At 48.9% G+C, this 19982-nt stretch overlaps 2 protein-coding genes across 3 annotated transcripts in view, besides 2 other annotated features; both read left to right on the forward strand.

Annotated features, from left to right (window-relative positions):
- The window catches only part of RANBP2 (RAN binding protein 2), a 1122820-nt gene that overhangs the window by 553578 nt on the left and 549260 nt on the right, over positions 1-19982 (forward strand). The window lies entirely within an intron of this gene.
- SH3RF3 (SH3 domain containing ring finger 3) overlaps positions 1-19982 on the forward strand; it is a 375430-nt gene that overhangs the window by 143855 nt on the left and 211593 nt on the right. The gene's annotated exons all lie outside the window — the stretch shown is intronic.
- Positions 2014-2214: a silencer, noted in NCBI's record as "fragment chr2:109891529-109891729 (GRCh37/hg19 assembly coordinates)". NCBI's record gives its function as "represses an EF-1alpha promoter that drives an FKBP-Casp9 reporter gene in an ReSE screen in K562 erythroleukemia cells {active_cell/tissue: K562}" and the evidence as "EXISTENCE:reporter gene assay evidence [ECO:0000049][PMID:32094911]".
- Positions 17874-18168: an enhancer, noted in NCBI's record as "tiled region #6940; HepG2 Activating non-DNase unmatched - State 23:Low". NCBI's record gives its function as "activates a minimal TATA promoter and a strong SV40 promoter by Sharpr-MPRA in HepG2 cells {active_cell/tissue: HepG2}" and the evidence as "EXISTENCE:reporter gene assay evidence [ECO:0000049][PMID:27701403]".

The following is a 19982-nucleotide window of genomic DNA, read 5'->3' on the forward strand; positions in this document are numbered from 1 at the left end:
CAAATAGAAGTTGTTTACTGAGTATTTCGGGTTGAAGAGATACTGGTTCTTGATGACCATCTGGATGATTTAGGATGAATTTTAAAATCCGCTGTACAGGAAATTAAGGCAGTGCTCATTAACTAGGAAGATCCTAGGCCTGTCCTGAGAATAATTGCACAGTCGTCTGTTCAGTGCTGCCTGCCAGGCTGGGAAGGCACATGTGTTTCTGTGGATGTATCTGTGGGGCACTCAGGGCCCTGGAGGCAGAGTCTTCCTGAGCTTGTCTGGAAGGAGTGCTTCCCTTGGTCATCCCAAGCTCCATTGAGCCTTAACGCATGGATGAGGGGGGAGGCAGGTCTCCAAGGGGACCCTGAGACCCATGCCTGCCCCCAGGAGGTGTGCGGGGCTGGGCGGAGGAGGGGAGAAGGGAGAACTGAGAGCCTGCAGCATGTGCCAGTGGAGGACCAGGTGAATGCAGACCCCACTCACTGGGCACGTGTTTAGTGAATGCATGTGAGGTGCCAGGTGTCTTGTACAGATGGGGAGTTTTGTGGTGGGACAGGCTTAGAGTCCTCCTCTGCTAGAGCTTATGGCTTCATATGATGATAGACATTAAACATGCGCAACTGCTGATGGGGACACACGTTGTCAGGGACGCATGAGATCTATCACGTTGCAGGGTAGGAGTCACATTTAGAAGGTCATAGATGTCCCTTTCATATGGTGACAGGGTATGCAGGTTGTGACTGAAATCCAGATATGCTGCTTGAGACCAGGCTCAGCATACATGCTGATTGCTTATAAAGGGGTTGCTTGAAGTGAAAGGAAACAAGTAGGCTGCTAGATGAAGAATATGGGCTCTGGTGTGGTAGGACTGGGTTTGGTGCTTGCTTTAGGGCTATGTGACTTTCTGTATGGAAAATGGAATACTAATTATGCTGGCAAGGATAATACTTACCATAGTTCTGGGCTTATAAAAGAGTGCCAGTAATATTACCTCCTATGTGTGATTATTATTAACATTACTGCTATTTTATTATCTTTATTGTCATGTCAAGGAAAATCATTTGTGGTAGTATGTCAAAGGCAACTTGTAGTTCTGGAAATCTTCTAGGATCTGGATTTCTTAGAAAGTTAAAAAGTCATTATTCCTTGGAACAAACATTATGGAGATTTGAGATTTCAAGTTCATTGGTCCTAAACATGTTATCATTTTTTTTGTATATCAAAAGTGAATTCCTAGGTGTGTGCCCAAAAGAATTAAAAAACAGGTGGTCAAACAAGTATACAAATGTTCATAGCAGCCCTATTTACACAGTAGCGAAAAGGTGGGACCAGCCCAAGTGTCTATCAGTGGATGAGTGGATAAACAAAATGTGGCCTGTGCCTGCAATGGACTTTTATTCAGCCATCAAAGGAAATGAAATTGTCATATATGCTGCATCTTGTGTGAACCTCAAAAACATTATGCTCAAAAAAAGCCAGCCACAAAAGGTCACATATTGTATGATTTCATTGGTATGAAGTATCCAGAATAGGTAAATCCATGGAAACAGAAAGCAGATTGGTGGTTGCCATGGGCTGAGAAGAGGCGGCAATGGAGCAGAATTACTTCACGGGGGTAGGGCTTTATTTTGGGGTGATACAAATGTTCTGATAGATAGAGGTCGTGGCTGCATAACATTGTGAATGTAGTAAATGCCATTAAATTGTTCACTTTAAAATGGTTAATTTCATGTTATATGAATTTTGCATCAATAAAAGAGCTAGTTCTAAGCACCATTTATACTGTAATATTTGTAGATTACCATAATGTAAAATTGTCCCCACCATATAAAAATGTTCTAGATAGAGGTAGTGGCTGCACAACATTGTGAATGTAGTAAATGCCATTGAATTGTTCACTTTAAAATGGTTAATTTCCTGTTATATGAATTTTGCATCAATAAAAGAGCTAGTTCTAAGCACCATTTATACTGTAATATTTATAGATTACCATAATGTAAAATTGTCCCCTTAGAACATCTCAGAACAGCTTCCACCATTAAAAAAAAAGAAAATGTGTTCCACGCTTGTCTGCCTTATTATCACCACAGCAAGAGCCTGAGGTTGACCTTTCATGAAGCTTTGCACAATCATCATGAAATGTGGTTTCTCGTACTTTGCTGCATACAGTGAGGCCCCGCAGAGGCTGCCACGTGAGACTGATATTCACCCTACCCTCTCTTGTGATCCAGAGAAGTAGGAGAGCCTAGAGGCACACCAGGGGAAATCAGATCACCAGGCTTCAGTTTATATTTGTGATAACGTTGATAAGTTGCTCAGAGCCCTGCCTGTTGGTTAGTGTGATGTGGCCTGAGGAGGGTTCCGTGACCCTCCATTCAGTTGGACCGACACCGGAAGTCTGCTGTAGGCCAAGGCAGCAGCTTAATCAGGGCCTTATTTATTGATTCTGGGTTGTAGATTGTTCCCGATGACCTAGTTGACTAGAAAGCGTCACAGGAAATGTGCAAGTTGGCTGATGAGCACTCAAAAGAGTGCCCCGCACCCGCCGTGCTTCTGCCCTTTTCCTGCCCTGCCTGGGGAACGGTTGCACTTCCAAGTTCAAGGATTAGCTGAGGTTGTCTGGATGCTTGATTAGCGCGTCCTTTTAAAAGGTTCATTCCTCATCTCGCTGTTTGCCGGGTACCCTTCCTCTCCCGGACAGCCGCACCTGCTTCCCTGTGCTAATGACAGTTTATGAAGCGAGGCACAGTGAGAGGGATCTGAAGCGTTCGCGGGGAGCTGGTAATAGGATCTAGGATTTTCCCTTCAAGGTCGGTTGGTTTTTTGAGTCCACTCTAGGTTTATGGAGAGGAAAATTCATTATAATCTGACATTATTTGGCTATGACCATGGAATGGATTTATAGCCCACGTCATGTGCAGCTGGGTGAGGGGAGACGAACATGCCCCCATTTGGTCTCCAATCCTGGAGAGGATTTCATGGTTCAGTTGGCAGAGAGGAACCCAGCAACCCTTCATTCAGGAGGCAGTGCTCTTCCCAGGAAGGGGGATCTCGGACCCAGTGATGGTAGAAGGCATTCTTTGGCTGAACCCACGAGGGTTCGAGTTAGGAGCAGGCATTCAACTTAAGACCTGAGAAAACACCAGCGTTCTCCCACATCACCATATGTGTGAGTCTGAACGTCCCTGGAGGTGGCATACGCTCATGTCTTAGAAGAAGAAAAAGTTATTTGCTCTAGAAAAGGGTCACGATTAGATGGATATGGGATTTGTCCTTTGAGCTAGGAATGGCATTGATGGCAAATATGTGTCCCGTAGTAGATGTAGCAGCTGTCACTGGGTGATGGCCTGAGAGTGACTGTCAGTCCAGGCCCGTCTGAAGGCTGTGACTGTCCTCCGGGACCCAGGGAGGGCAAGAAGCTTTAGCCCAGGTGTCGCTGCATGGAAGGCCTTGTTCAAGCCACTTAGTGATGTATTTTCTCACCTGGAAAGTAGATGTAATAGTAACTGGAGAAAACTTGTGTTTCATTTGTATATTGTGAAACTAAATGGCATGCTTATTATTGTTTTGCCATGGTGCTTTGGGCTAAGGCGCTGGACAAATCTGAACTGTTACCAGACAAATATTCTAAGTCAGATAGAGACCCTTTTTGGCTTGTTTTAAATCACATTATTCCAGCTTTTGTGATACCTCAGCCTTCTCTGTTGTTTTGTTTCTAGAGAAAACAGTTTTGACTTACATATATATATACTACCTTTTTCCTAAAAGGATCTAAGGGGCCTTATACAAACAATATAGTTAAGCAAGATAAAATAATCTAAATTCACATGGAAAAAAAAATGAGATTAAGAGAGTAGAGATGACCAAGGTTCATGTTTCGGGGAGGGTGTAAGAAGGGGAGTCCTGAGCTGGGGGACTCGGCTTCTCCCTGAAAGGAGCAGTGGGCAAATGGACAGAATCAACAGACTTCCCTCGAGCACCTGTCAAATGGCAGGCACCATGCTCTGTGCTGGGATAAAGCTGAAGTCAGCCCCACGCCGGCGGTCCCTCAACTGTCCAGAGCCCTCAGGACTGTAGGAGGGGGCATGGGGTGGCAGGTCAGCCTTCTGTATCTTCATTACGTAGTTAGAAACAGTTCCCAGAATTTCAGTCGCATCTGTGCCTGGTGTGCCCTGCATTTCGGATGTGTCACACTTGGCCTCTCCCTCACTGTACAGGAACCTGGATGTGACTCTGGAATCAGGATCACTGAGGTTTGCAGATGATGGTTTGATTGGATTTTGAAATGATTATTTTCTCAGTGTCATTTCATTTACTGCTCTTTATGTGACCCCGGCCTCGGTGATGGAAATCAACTTTGTGTTCTCAATTACTACGACTGTATAATTTCATAAGATTTAGTATCTCCCGTGAAGAGTCCTACTTCTGCTAGGACATTGGGCAGCTGCTGCATCTCCGAGCAGTCCGTGGAATACCAAGTGACAGGCGCTGGTCCGTTGAAAGTGCCTCCCTGAGACTTACGTGTACACTGTCGTTATCTATCACCCTGCACTCCTCCGCGTGCGTAGCTCAGAACTGACTCTGAATTAAACAGGCAGTGCTTGGGTTTGGATGTCCTCTCCCACTCAGGGTGCCTCCCATTCATGAGGAGCCCCAGGTGTATTGTGACAACAAGATCATTACCACAAGCGTGGCTGTGGGTGGATGTGTAGGTTTTGGGAAATGATTACTTGGAAAATTAAGTTCTTATACCTGGCAGTCTTACCTCTTAAAAGTGGAGAAACAGTGGCCAGGTAGACTTTGCTGTGAATTACAAGGGCATTTCTTCTGCTGAAAGGCATTTCAGGCCGGGTGTGGTGGCTCACGCCTATAATCCCAACATTTTGGGAGGCTGAGGTGAGAGGATCAGTTGAGGCCAGGAGTTAGAGATCAGCCTGGGCAACAAGGAGACCCTGTCTCTAACAAAAAAAAAAAAAAAAAAAAGCCAGGCATAGTGTCATGCACCTATAGTCCCAGCTACTCAGAAGGCTGAGGTGGGAGGATGGCTTGAGCCCAGGAGGTCTAGGCTGCAGTGAGCCATGATTGTGCCACTGCAGTCCAGCCTGAGTGATAGAGCAAGACCCAATCTTAAAAAAAAAAAAATCAATTTCAGTAATTCACCAGGACTATTTTCTCTGCACTCCTTTGTGGAGGATGTTTCCCTGAGCCCACGGTAGGCACTTTATCGGCAGGGCCCCGTGCTTCAGCCACCCTGGTGCACACATAGCAGCAGGCTGGTGCCCGTAATGGGGGTGGGCCCAGGGGCATCCCAGTGGGGCTTGCCAGTCTGCAGTGGTGATGACACTTCTGAAGGAATGGGATAATTTCATCTAACTTGGTGTTCAGTGTTGTCTGTTCAGCTAAAATAAATGTGCCCGATGAACAAAGACTCATGGTTGATGATGAGGCACAAGGATTCAGCAGAAGGGACAGCCAACCCTGGGGTTACTGGAATGTCGGGCCCCAATGTCACTGCATAGCAATGTATCCCAGGAGTCAGCGGCATATAGGATAAGCACCTGCTATTCACAGTCACTTGTGAACATCTGCCTGGCTTGGCTTCAAGCTTTGATTAGGTCCAGGTCTGCTGAATTTTACCTTCTTTGGACCAGCAGCTTCCAGAGCCATGTCTTCATGGTGAAAGGCAAGTCCCTAGGGATGCAAGCCCATCTGTACCCAACTGAAACCCATGTTACCCTTCACCTGTATCTTGTTTGTGGGTATTGCATCGGCCAAGGCAAATCGTGGGGCTAAGCCCAGGGTCAAGTGTGGGGACGTGCACTCTGCAGAAGTGGAGGGTGGGGATGAGTGTTTGCTGGGCAGTAGTACACCCGAGGCTCCGTGAGAATGTCTACTTTGAGCAGTCAAGAGAAGACACAGATTTTAGACTTGTAGGTTTCCTCATTCCAAAGTTGGTGTGCTTGTACTTGATTTTGAAGTTATCTTTCTTCCAGGGTGATGGGGGAGCATGAAAGTAAGAGGATCTTGGGAACTGCTGTGCCCATTAATTTTATGGCAAATCCACGTATCACCTGGAAAACCATCCATGGGATATTGAGTAGTGGACCAAGAGCTGTGGTCCGGATTCCATGCATACGTTTTGGGAAGAGGCTGACATGAAGCGTGCTATTAGCTTGTCGAGAGCCCTGCTGACTTCTGAATGTGGCTTAGCTCCTGCCACGTCCTTTGTTCTTCCAAGGTTAACTGCTGCAAAGGGATTGCAGTGGCCAGTGGAGGGCTAGTGAAGGTTCAAGCACACTGACAATTAGGCTAAATCGGCAGTGGCAGGTTCTTGCATGGAAGTTGCATCACCTGCTGGAGTGACTGTCCCTTGACCTCCTCCTGTCTACTGGGTCTTCCTCCACCTCACTTTAATGCTGCTATGCTGCTAATGTGAACTCTGAGGCTTTAACTGGGGAAGTCGCCACCGCCCCCTCCATCACCCTTGTCCTACAGGTCAGGGCTGGAATGAGGAGCACTTGCAGTTGCCTAGTGGGTGGGATTTCAAGGAAACGGGATACCTTTCTTCCCCACCCCTTCACCTTTTCCCAGAAATGGTCTCATCACTGTTTCCTTTTGGAATTCTGTCATTGGAATTTCCTGCTTTTGCAGCTCTTGCCAGCTTGCGTTTCTTTTGAAATTCAGTACGCTTGGGAGCAGTGACGCGAAACTTCGCAGACGCTGACCTCGCTGACAGAGCCAGGCCGGGCAAGAAGAGGTCCGGGAGGATCTATCAGGAGTGTGGGGGCTGGTGGGGCCTGCCCTGTAGCGAGGCTTAGGGTATGGGCCCCTGGGGGGTGAGAGAGGACAAGGGATGAGAGTTGGGAGGTAATTGGGGGGCGGTAAGAGGTGGAGGGTGAGGGGTGAGAGGGCCCCAAAAACACACCCCCTGGGCCACGGTTTCTCTTAGGCTGTGCTGCCCCAGGGTGGGAGTAGAGGAGATTCTGGACTTCAGAATGCCAGCCAGGCTCCCCTCCTATTTTTTTCGATCCCAGAGACAACAGAGTTCTTTTTTTCTGCATGTTTTTTGGGGGCTCCTCTTTTCTTGCTGCAATGCTGTCAGAATCATAAAGAGCTGACATCTATAATTAATGTCAGTGGCCTGCACTAGTGAATGCCCGTGGCACACAGAACACCTGGCTGTGGAGAAGCAGCAGCAGGACCTAGCGTGTTGGCACTGGAAGGAAACGCAGAGGCCTTTCCCCTCATTTTACATGCAAGGAAACTGAGGCCCAGAGAGGGGGCCCCACAGCCAGCCAGTGGCAGTGGGCTCTGAGGGGCTCTGGACAGCAGCATCCCACCTGAGTGCGCTCTTGGCTAGGCAGGGTGATGGGGCCCCAGTCTGGTGGACGCTCAGCAATAGGAAGGGGAGCGGTGGGGAATCCCTTCTCGTTCCCGGGTGCTGGTCTACCAGACTGGGGCTCCACTGGGGCCATGGTCCAATACCAGTCCTAGCAGTCATTGAAATATGGGGTTTCAGGCTCCTGATCCTTAAAAACCCTGTGTAAGTAGTCTCCAAGCTAAAAACAATCTACACTAATAGATCTGCTCATCAAAAGATTATTTTGAGAGCATTCGGGTAATGTAAACAACCTTTCTGCTTTGTAGCACCCAGCAGTGAGTATCTGGAGACGTTGGAAATGGGGCTCACCCGATGAGGGCTGTGAGCATGAGCCTCGAGGGCGCTGCAGGGTTCATCTCATTTCTCTCTTCATTTATTGAGCACCTGCTGGATAACAGTGGTCGGCTGTTTTATGTCCGTTGCACATTATTGCATACCGTGTCTAATAAGCCTGCAGAAGTGGGTGCATTATCCTCACTGCAAATGTGGAAACTAAAGCTTGGTACTAGGAACTTGCATCAGGTTCCCTAGGTGGCAGTGGTGATGCAGAACACACACAGATCTGCAGACCTTAAAGCCTCACGCTCCTGACAACTGAGCCATGCTGTCCCCAGAGCCGACCTTGTATGCCATGACAGGGCCAGAGAGAGAGGACTGGTTACTTACTGCACACCCTGAGAGACAGGAATGGGCACAGTTGTCACCTATGCCATAGGAAATGGAGTGCCACCTGCACAATGCAGTGAGTCACGGTTCTCCCTGTCCCTCCTGCGACCCCAGCTTCTGCCCTGGGCTGCTGGAGGGCACACTTAGGGGCACAAACACACCTGACAACAGGTTGTGGGTTTTGTTGGGGTGGAGCACCCTCAGACCCCTCTTGCCTCTTCCTTCCCCGGGCCCCCTCCGTTATCCATCAGGAATTCTACTCTTGGGACTTGGAAAGTGAGGAGAGGGAAGGACTAGCTCTGCCGATGTGACAGTCTCAGAGCAGGATGTCCCTCTAGTGTCCTGCATCCAGCACACGCACAGCACGTGTACTGGAGGCAGCTCTTCTGGTTCTGACTCTGTGGGTGCCTTTCACCTGCTGGTCCTCAGCAGAGCATGCAAAGGGATGAGGGAGGGTGATTCACTGTGGGAGAGTTAAGGATGGGAGCCTCTGGGATCGAGCTCCAGGTCTGCTGTTTGGTAAAGTGCTTTACTTAATTTGAGTATAAGTGTTTAGAGTGAGCAGCTGCTGAATTCCCCACAGTTCTTAGATTCAGGGTAGAGGAAATCAGAAGAGTCCGTATCTGATTTCCATGATGGTGGAGTGGGTGCAGGCCCAGAGAGCAAGAGCAAGCCTGCACAGAGGTTCTGTGCCAATGGACACACTGACTGTCGGGGGCACGCTGACCATGGGAGGGTGTTGGGGAGCACACAGACCCCCAGCGGGCTAGAGCTGACGGTTCCCACTGAGAGGGAGGCAGAATGTAGAGATGGCCATGTGGCAGGAGCTGAAAGGCCTGCCTGGCTCTGTGGTTTGTAGAGCAGAAGCCCAATGGCCGAGCGCTGGGCCAGGCTTTCGGGATGCTCCAGGGCTCAGGTTCAAGATGCTACATCTCTGCTTGGTGTCAGAGGGGATGCTGGTGGGATATGAGTGGGGGCTGCATGGCGAAGCCTGTCTCTAGTTGCATTCTGGCTCAGGGAAGGTGGGCTTGCTTCCTCCCTAAGGAGCAGTTTCTGATTGATGATGGATAGCAGCTATTTTTCTTTTTATCTTGTTGCCATGAGTGTTTATTGGGGTTAAACCTGCATCTTTCCTTTACACATTAATGTAGGGAGATATTGGCTTTGAGAAATGAGTGTAGATCAGATTGACTGTTTAGTCTAACGTGTTCATAATTGGTGCAAGTTGTCTGCATTTTCTTAACCAAAAAAATCTACCCCAGGGGAAAAGTGGACTCTGGTTTTGCTGAGATACCAAAACATGGGTGTGAAGTAACTGGGAGAAGCTCTAGGAATCTTCTGGTCCTGCTCCACCACTGCCAGGTCATGAGCACTGCAGGAAGGCCCGAGGGTCACCAAGACGCCGGCCTGCCCTGCGGTGGGAGGACAGGGGAGGGGTGGTACTGCCCTGTGCCTCAGCTGACTGCAGGGCCTGGGAACACTGGCCAGGAGAACGGCGCACAGAGCCAATGCACGCACTCCACCTCTCGCCTCCGTGGTGGGAGACGTCCGGGCACCCTTGTTTGCTTGGAGCACTTCACTTAAAGTGGGTCTGGCTGGTCATTTTCTTGCACTTACCAGCTTTATGGCTTTGTTTCATAGTTTAGTCCTCAGAACGGCCAAAGGAGAAAGCTGCAGAAGAGCTCACCAGGAGGTAGACCATGTCTGTGTCCTCCAGGGCTGGCAGGCAGGAGGAGGTGGAGGGGTAATGGTCCTCCTGTGAGGAGAGGAGCTATGGATGGGGAGTCTGATGGCCCCTGTAGACTCAGGTGACAGTGAGAAGGAGAAACTCAGTGTACCAATGGTGGCATTGGGGCTGGCTTGTTACTCTCCCTGGGTCCTACTCCCTCACGTGGAGGAAGGGGTGACTGCTTGGCATGGGTTGGCAAGGACTGTGTGAACTGTGTATGCAGACAGAAGGTAAGTCCAGGCTTGGCCAGGGCCAGAGTCATGGGCAGCAGCGGTGATGATGGCAGATGATCAATCCTGAAAGGTAATAAAAATGCCCAGGGTACAGCCCAGAAATGCCTGTGATAGTCCCAGAGGTGCCTGGAGCATGCCTCTGTTCGCTCCCTCCAGGCCCCAGCCTGGCAGTCTCCCGCTCTGGGTGCTTGGGCCATGGCCACAGCCTTCCCCCTACTTAAGGCCTCTGTTCCCACTCCCCACTTGTGGGCCTGCTGGACACCTGCTCCCCTGCTCCTTCCTTGCCACCCCATTGCCAGCCTCTGCCAGGCCTCACCTCACTGCGTTGAAATTGAGTGTTTTGGTGGCCAGTATTGAGCTCACAGAGGGAGTGGAGCTTTGCTCCCCTGTGGAGGAGCACTCAGAAATGCTGGTGACCACAGAGACCCCTGGTGTTGTCCACAAAGGTCTCCAGAAGAGAGTAGGGGAGGGATGGGCCACCCAGGGCCGAGGTAAGATCCTGGTGAGCAGGATGGGGGCACACTTCAGCCCCTTCCTAAAAGCTGGGGCTGAGGGAGAGCGCTGCAGGGAGCTGTACTGTACTGTGATTCAGTGCACATGGGGACCTGGAAGCAGGGGACAGTAGCCCCCTTTTGTGGTCAGAAAATTTGAGAATTGGGGATGCTAAATCGCTGGCCTGAGCCACAGAGGTGCTACGTGCTGGATTTGGGATTTGAACTTGGCTCTCTGCCTGGCTCCTTGTGTTTGTTCTCTCTGCTCCCTGGGAGGATTTGCCAGTCTTGCTGCTGAGCCACTGGGGATGCTGGGGAGTGAGTATTCTATATGCATCAGCTGGTGAAGCGCTTATCAAATGACCCCCAGATTCCATCTCACTTGGGGAGGCCGTGTTTCCGCCTCCCTCCTGTCCCCACACCTCTGCCCGTGGGTGTTTTTCCAGGAGAGCTTGCCCTGGGTAGGAAAGCCGAGGGGAGGGTGGCATTGGGCTGCCTTCTCACTTGCTGTCACCTCCCTTGTCCTGCCCCCTGGCCTTCCCAGATCCACCGTAATGAAAGACCTTGAACGAACACATCCCTCAGGTACTCAGCCCAGGGTCTTACAGAGGGGCGGTCCCAGGGGAAGGGGGTTGGGGCCTGCAGTTTTCTCAAGTGTGGTGTGACCCTCAGGAATTTCTTTTTGGTGATCTTGTCATTTTGGTGGGTGTTCATTTCCTTGAGCATCTTCACTGTATTAGTAGCCATGAGTATTACTGAAAGGCATTTTTATTCTTAAAGCATTCAGGGACTGATAGCAACCAAAATTATCAGACAAGCTGCAGGAGATGAAATCAATGGAATTTGGCAATTGTGGGGCAGGACCTTATTCCCAAAGGTGGCTGGTCTAGGGCGTGTGGACTGGGAGGCAGGCATGCAGAAGGGGACACACCCCTCCCATCACTCTCCTCTCGTCCAGCCTTGGAAGCCACTGGAGTCACATCTGCTGCAGGAAACCCTGTGTTTGAATTATGTGTGGAGCAGTCACAGGGTGGTTTTGGCTGGATGAAGGGCATAGAGTGGCATCTAGAAGTGCATGGGAGACCATTGCCAATGTCATGGGTTAGACCATGTTTTTGAGGCTTTAGTGATTTTTTTGAGACCCTTCCCAGTCTAGGCCAGGCAGATCATCTTCTGTGCACACCTCTGCAGGTGAAGTCCCCGCATGGCTAAGCACATGTGTGTGGAGTGTGTGTGCTTAAGGATGTGTGGCCTCGTGTCAGATGACATGTGTGTGGGGTGTGTGTGTTTAAGGATGTGTGGCTTCATGTAGGTTGATGCTCTTGAACGTGCTGACTTTAAAAAATCCACACTGGGCTCGTCTGCTTCCCTGATGACAGAGTTTGGGAAACTAATGAAAGACATTCTGGCCTTGTGCCATCAGAAGTGAAGTCAATGTGGGGAACAGCTGCCTCTGGGAGGACGTTGTCTGTGCGCTGTGCCGCGGGGCCTCTGCTCCATGGCCGGCCACACAGCCCTGTCCTGGAAGAGGCCCAGGCAGCTGTCACCCCTTAGCCCAGTCTGGAAAGAGCCCAGGGTCTGGAGTAGGGGTGACAGTGAGGCTTTCTATGGAAGCTGCTTTAAAGAAGGAACAAATTGAGCCTGGCACTGGCCTTCTGGTTTTGGAGACTGAGTTGCCCTGCCCTGTGCTTGCAGATCCACTCAGTGTGAAGGGCAGGACAGCTTCCCCTTTCCACACCTCCTCATAACCTCCTGGGAAGCTGCTGAAATACAGGTGTTCATGGTGGGGTTAAGCCAGCTTGTGAGTCATTAGCATGCCTTTCCACGGCCAACGCACAAAACTTTTGTCTTAATTAGACTTGAGGCACAAACCGCTGATTCTCCAGTGCAGTGTGCCTGCTGTGCCGTGCGTTTTTGTTAGTGTGTCTGGACGTGGTATTCATATATTAACAGTGCATGCTGGGGCACTTGGACTGCAGGGCAATCGCTTGCCTGGCGGTGGGAGCCCAGAGGCTGAGGTGGTGCGTCATGTTCTGGCCACGGTCAAGCCCCGGAGTGTGTCTGTGCTCTGTGGGGAGCCTAACCTGTCATCTGTGTCAGTCCTCTCTGAGTGTCCTATGGGGAAAAGTTCACTTGGGGCTCATGAAAGCTTGCTTTTGCATCTGTCCCTGAGCCTGGTCCAGTGTGAGCAAGCTGATGCCTTGTGGAACCTGGATCCAGACCTGGCAGGGTGTGAGTCTGTGTGTTAGAGAGCATCCTCCTTCCAGTCCTGGCCTTGTTGGCTTCACTGCCTCTGCGTGGCTCCAAGCCTGACCACTCCCTTCCTCCCATGCCCCCAGCGTGCCTCCTTCTACTGCATTCAGATTTTTGTCCACTCACCCGGTTTTCCTCTTTTCTGCCCTGGGTTCTGAGGGTCCATGGCCTGCAGGACAGTTTGCCTAGGATAAGCCAGGACACATCAGAGGCTGGTGGAAGCCTGATCTGCTGCTTAGAATCAATGGTGTTTCTGACATGGAGAGGTGGACATTCAGGTGCCTATCATTACATGGCAGTAGGAAGGTGCTTGGACCCTGCAGGCCTGGTGCTTTGTACCTGTGGATTTTCCAAGTCACTTTATTCAAGGATTTCATTTCACTTTCAGTTCTTAAAGTAAGGGCCTGGCAAAGGGATAGGCAGCATTCTGTTTCTCTGAGGGAGGTAATGCTCTGCCATCAGCAGATTTCCTTATGATGATGGAAAAGTGTGGTCAAGGGATGTGTTTGACCCTCCTGTAAGAAGAATGAAGGTGTGCTGCCCACGCAGTGGTCACTCCAGGGGGCCCTTGGTTGCAATTCAAAGGCAAGCAGGAACCTGGAGGCCCAGAGGGGCAAAGGGCATGGGGCTCAGGTCCTGTGGTCACTCAGCACATGCTCTCTCAGCTGCACCACAGTCCCGCACAAGGCCATCTATGCTTATCACCTGGGTGCAGAAGACCAAGTCACTAAAACCCCAGAGCCAGGGGTTTGCTCCAGGTGGGCCTGGACTTTCAGCTAAGGCCCCTTCTGGATTGGCACATGGTGAGGGGAGCTTCCACACCCATGATTCTAAATCCCAGGAGCTCTGAAGCAGGAATCTTTTCCCCCTGTTTGGCATAGCTCATCTGCTAGCAAAACCTGCTTTGAGCTACCAGGATTCCCAGTACCTTTGGGAGTGTTGGGTTTCCCTACAGAGATGTGGTGCAGAGTGGACGCTGCCCCATACCTCCCGGGAGGAGTGACATCTCACAGGGCCAGTAGCCATTCTACCTTTCCCAGATCCAAACTTCTCCAACTCTAAATTCGTTGACCGGTCTGTCCCCAGAGAAAGCAGTCAATGCTGTGAGTCTGCATCTGAAAAGACAGTGAGCATTTGTGGACCCTGCCCAGGTGGTTCCGCCATCCTCCACAGACTGGCAGCACTGAAATGGGACGTGCAACTGTCCCTGTGCTCAGCTCTGCACTGCTCTTCCCTCTCAGCAACTTTCTGATTTGCATCCATGCTTGCTCTCCATGTTTCTGTGATCTCATCTGTGACATACAGATGACAGCCATGGTATTGGCCTCATGGGGGGTTGTCCAGAGATAAAAAAGACCCAGTGATTATATGCCACAGAATTTTGCATCCAAAATTTGCATTTTAAATTTTTCCAAGGGACTTTTTTCTGCTCGGGTCTAGCGAATGGCCCCTTGGTCTCTCCTGTGTAGTGTTTTGTGGTCACAATAACCCTGGATTCCTGATGCCCTGGTGGAGAGGCGATACCAGTGTCTGCAGACCATAAGAAAGTACATCTTGACTCTGAACCACAGCTATAAATAAATTGACATGTTTATCTGTGGGCTTACAGTGACATATAAAATCTTTTCTTGAGGTGCTTAGGTATCTCTAGGCTACCTGAGATACCTAAGAGAGATACCTCCCTTCTGAGAGCACCAGGTTGGGACACTACGCTCAGGTGACTTCCATGCACCCTGCAGAGCCACCCTCCCCCTTGACCCTGTTGGTGCTGGAGACTGCATCATCTGCACTATATACCCAGGCGCAGGTGGTTGGATTTGTCCAATGGGAGGCGGGAGGGGAACTGTGAGATCAGGGTGTTCCCCTTCTGGGCCCTCCCTCGGATCCTATCAGAGGCCTCAGATCTCATCAGAGGCCCTCTGCACAGAGCTCTTCTCTGTGGCCTCTGCAGAGCTTTTTGGCCCTTCCCTTTCAGGCCTCAGATATTAAAGCTTCGCACTGTTGCCAGTTTTAGGGCGCTGCACTCTCCTGTGTGCAGTTTCCTAAACCCCACTCATAGTCCTATAGTTTTTCTTTTGCTAACTCCCCTTAGTGACCCAATTAAGTGTGCCACCTCTCTACATCCAGGACCTGCCTGTTCAAATAAGCAAGCCAGAGAAAGGTTCAAGTTCTTATTTGAAAGGCGAAGTGAGCCCTGGCATGGGCCATCCCATGGCCTTTTGGCTGACTGCCACCAGCAGGTTGAGCTGTCCCATTGTCACATCACTAGCCTTAATATAGTCTCATGCCCTGAAGTTGTCTTGTTTGCCCACAAGACAAGGCTATCAGGAAAATGCTGTGAACCTTGGTTTCCAAGAAGAACTCAAACTTAGATGCGATGTGTTTGCAGCCATTCAGAATAGGTGCAAGGATCCAAATCCCTGGGCCTCAAGAACAAAGAAAGTTAAAAACCGAGAAGACTGTCATTAACTGTAATTGCTTTTGCATAACTCCTTTCAGAGTTATTGCAGGCATGGAGTCCGGGGAGTTGCCCATAGTTCTTAATGTATTAGGGAACAGGAACACTCAGAGGTATTCTCATCTAAAGACCAGTTCACAAAGGAGGCATTTGAATGTGGATATGCCAGCTTTAAAACCCGATAAAGCCAGAAAGTATGAGAGCCCACAGAGATGTCATTAAGGAAATTATTTCCTCCCAAAATAGAGGCACCCCAGGTGACCTCTCAAAACAGAATTTTTGTCATGTTGGTCTGGAGTCACCTCCATTTCCTTTCTGTTGAGAATTGTTCTGTTTCCTGACAGCACACTGGGATTTTTGCAAGGCAAGTCATTGTCACCCAAGGAGACTGACTTCTTTTCACTCAATTACGTTTTTTTCTCTTTGCCGGGAGCCTGGGAGATTGCTGGACCTGACCCCTGTCTTAGGAACATGGGTAAAAGTTGTCATGATGGAAGACACATGGCTGGGACAGCAGATGGCTAGAAAGCTACTACAGGAGGACTCAAATCACTTTCTTATTTAGTAGCTTCTGGAAATCTTTATGCCCATGTGGTAGAAAAACAGATGGGTGTTCCGTAAAGAAAGCGGCACCAGTGTCTGCAGAGCATAAGAGATTGCATCTTGACTCCAACCCATAGCTATGAATAAATTGACAAATTTATTTGTGGGCTTATCAAGGACATAAAAAATCATTCTGGCTGGCAAATGAAAATGGCATTGTGTTGCTCACTAACATTCGTTTGTCAACTGTTCCTGGAATAGGTGCTAAATTATAACTGAGGAGCTGGCGTTATAAAGCTGAACTGGATTTTCCAAGCTGTCATATGAAAAGAAAATTATTAACTATCTCCTCCTCCATCCCCTGTCTCTCTCTCTCTGCAGAAAAAGCCCCTTTCTCTGCTGTCATATGACTTGGACTGCACGCTCTATGTGCACACGGTGTAATGAATGCCACATTATCACCCACTGGCTGGGGTGAGCCTTCTTGTTATTTATTTCCAACTGGAACAGGATTTCACATCCCATGCTCCCACACAAAGGTCTTAGAAACAACCATTTCAGACAGTTCCTTGCATCAGAGTTTTAGGGTACTCTTCTGCACACAAACTGTTGTTGGAACATGAGCTTGGATTTCTTGATGCTACATGTCACGGATTGGCAGGAAATGGTCTGGGTGGTGCTGCTCTTATACGCACTCTTGGTCAGACATTGTGTGTGGTGGAAATCTGTGTAAGGATCTTAGCAATTATGGGGACCATGGTGTAGCACTGGGATATCTTACTTTTCACTTAGATGTCTCTGCTTTTGGTTTTGAGACATCACGTGGAAAGCTATGTTGGTTTTCATCCTATTCCATGGCTCTCTGGTGTTGGCAGGCTGCACTTCATAGCATAGAAGATGAAACATGATATGACTTCAGGAACGCATGCTGAGGGAAGATGTGTTGTCATGAAAATACACTTTTTTTTTTAAGCTGGAAACTGGGTGACAGTGAAATCTTAAAAACTGGGGAAATCGGGAAATCAACTAACTTTCTCAGATCTTGGTTTCCTCATATTGTGTATCGCATTGCGGGTTTGAACCAGAGGATTGCTGAGGTTCCTTCCAGCTCTGCTTCTAGTTCTTAAATCCAAAGCCTATGGGGCTCTTGGAGTAGCTCAAGGCTTCTGATCTTTAAGTTGCAAACAGACCACTGGGGGGACCTTGTTAAAATGCAGATTCCGATTCTATAGGTACAGGGGGATGCCTGGAATTCAGGATTAACCAAGGAATCTCTCTTGTGATGCCAATGCTGCTGGTCCGTGGACCACACTTTGATTACCACAGATATAGATGACCAAAGTTGCATGGTCCTGGATGAGCCAGATCCCTTCTTTGTCCGGGTGGCTTAGGTCTGGGTGGCTCTTTCATATCTTCAGACACATCACATCATTCCTTCTCTTTGTCAGTAAAGACAGACAAGGAAAATGAAGTGAGAACTTCTCTTTCTAGTAATATAACACATTGCCCCCAGGCACGTAATACATACTTATTAGAGTAAATGAGTGATAAGAGAAATTAGTGTGATCAGGGATGAATGTACCATAAATACTCAAAGTCCCTTCAACCTGCCACACACGAACACACACATATATGCATGCACCAGATTTCATTACCCGGAATCCTCATGTTCGTATTCTATAGCGCCCAACTTCTATTTTCCTCACTGTCTCCTACACATATTATGCCTAGCTAGGCTATGTCCTCTGACTATCCTTTGGCCCGCCCAATGCCTATCATTTTCTAGATCAATGCAAGTCCTAAGTCTTCTTGAAGCCTCTGGATTCCTCCAACTCAGACGCCCTCCCTCCCTGTTGTATCCATGGTCTTTGGGAGCAAGGATGCAGACCCAGACCTGACTGCTGCACCTGCCCAGCTGCACTCAAGGGAGGTGCTGCTGTTACACCCATACCTTTCCTGGGCTCAGGACTGGGCTTCAGAGCCTTTACAACACAGCACTCTTGATGGCTTCTAACAACTGCCTGAAACATCTTTTCCATCCCTGATTTAAGGCTTAAATATTATTTTTATTCTTCATGTATATATTCTCTTCCTGTTTTGCCAGATGGTAAATTCGTTGAGAATAGCTGCTTTTTACTGTTTTCCTGGGGTGCCCGGCAATATGCCGGGTACATAGTAGGTGCACATTAAATGATGAGCTGACTGCCTGGAGCAGCACTGAGTCATACATTCTCATGTGCTGGGGTAATGCTTAACACAACAAATAATCCCATAGCTTCCTTGACCCCAAAGGTGTCCAGAACCAGTCACTTAACAGCTGAAATGGACCCTGATTTGGGGCACTTGTCTCATGAACGTGGGGAGAGTGAGAGGGCACCATCTCACATGATTCCTTTGAAAATGCTGTCAGGATATTATGGAGAAATGCCAGAAAGCAACAACAGAAGGCTGTTGGGAGAAAAAGAAACAGAGTAATCTCTTTTTTTTTTTTTTTTTGCATTATGCTTGAAGGAGGTTGTTTGCTCTTCAGTGTTCTACATGCAGCTGCCTCTATTGCTTTTGGTTGGACCAGGCCCATCTGCCCAAACAGTGAGTGGGGATTATGCATCTCAGTTCCTGCAATCTCGCCTGGCTGCCGTGCAGGAGTCAGATGGTAGGGCCAGGAGGACCGGGCTCAGGGCCAGGGGCCTTCGGGCACGTGCTGCGGAGGAGCGCTTGTGAGATGCACATGCCATGTCTGCAGCCGGCGATGCCCTTGGAAGAAGCTCCTGCCACTGTCCCTGTGATCTGCTGAGCCCAGGCAGCTCCTCGTGGTGGGGAAATGTGTGGAGGAATTTTGGAAGACTGGATATTGTTCCAGTGGGGTGTGAGATCCTCTGGCCTTAAGTCGCTCCTCTTTGCTCCTCTTTGTCTCCCAAGCCAGGCTTATCCGCAGGTTTCAAAGTGGGGAACCTGAACTTGGTAAGGTCTCCAGTTTCAGGTGACTGTTGTGTCTCAGCTCTGTCAAGGAGCAGCTCCAAACTGAGCCATATTTCATGCCTTCTCAGTCTAAAGATAATATACTTTTTTGTTTGTTTGTTTGAGATGGAGTCTCGCTCTGTTGCCAGGCTGGAGTGCAGTGGCACAATCTCGGCTCACCACAAGCCCTGCCTCTCAAGTTCACGCCATTCTTATGCCTCAGCCTCTCGAGTAGCTGGGACTACAGGCGCACGCCACCACGCCCAGCTAATTTTTTGTATTTTTAGTAGAGATGAGGTTTCACCGTGTTAGCCAGGATGGTCTCGATCTCCTGACCTCGTGATCTGCCCGCCTCAGCCTCCCAAAGTGCTGGGATTACAGGCGTGAGCTACCGTGCCTGGCCCCAATATGTATTTTTAAATGTTTCTTTCTAATTAAAAGCATCATTTATGTTCTCTACAGAAAATTTGTAATGTATAAATGTATAAACATAATATTTTTAAATAGGAAATAAAAGTTGCCCTTTTCAGAATCCAGAGAGTCCCCTTGTTAGTGTATTGGGGTTCCACATATGTGTTTGTTTTTCAAACATGGCTGGGATCATATAAACATGAAGTTTTGTATCCTGGTCTTTTCACTTAATGCTATGTTTAATTGGAATATTTTCACTACACTAAAATGTTCTCAAAATAGGATATTTCATAGCTGTGGAAGAAATCATTGCGCATATTTCCCATGATTTCTGTAACTGTTCACCTATCCGACGTTTAGCTTGTTCCAGTTTTTCTCTACTTTAAATGACATCATCCCCTAGTTTCACATTGCATTCCCTGATTTCTATTTTGGGCATTTTTCTTTCCTCTTGCCAATTTTCTATCTATAGACTCTGCCTAGAAAAGCGTCTTTTTGGGATGGTGCTGAGAGGAGCACAAACCGGCCTGGTCCATGTAACAGCAATTTGACATGTATTTATTCATTTTTTATTTTTTTGAGATGGAGTTTCACTCTTGTTGCCCAGGCTGGAGTGCAGTGGCATGATCTTGGCTCACTGCAACCTCTGCCTCCCAGGTTAAAGCGATTCTCTTGCCTCAGCCTCCCCAGTAGTTGGGATTACAGGTGTGCACCAGCATGCCTGGCTAATTTTGTATTTTTAGTAGAGACAGGGTTTCACCATGTTGGTCAGGCTGGTCTCGAACTCCTGACTTCAGGTGATCCACCCATCTCAGCCTCCCAAAGTTCTGGGATTACAGGCGTGAGGCACCGCACCCCAATTTGACATTTA

Source organism: Homo sapiens, chromosome 2 (assembly GCF_000001405.40).
Source record: "Homo sapiens chromosome 2, GRCh38.p14 Primary Assembly".
In the NCBI taxonomy this organism is placed as follows: Eukaryota; Metazoa; Chordata; class Mammalia; order Primates; family Hominidae; genus Homo; species Homo sapiens.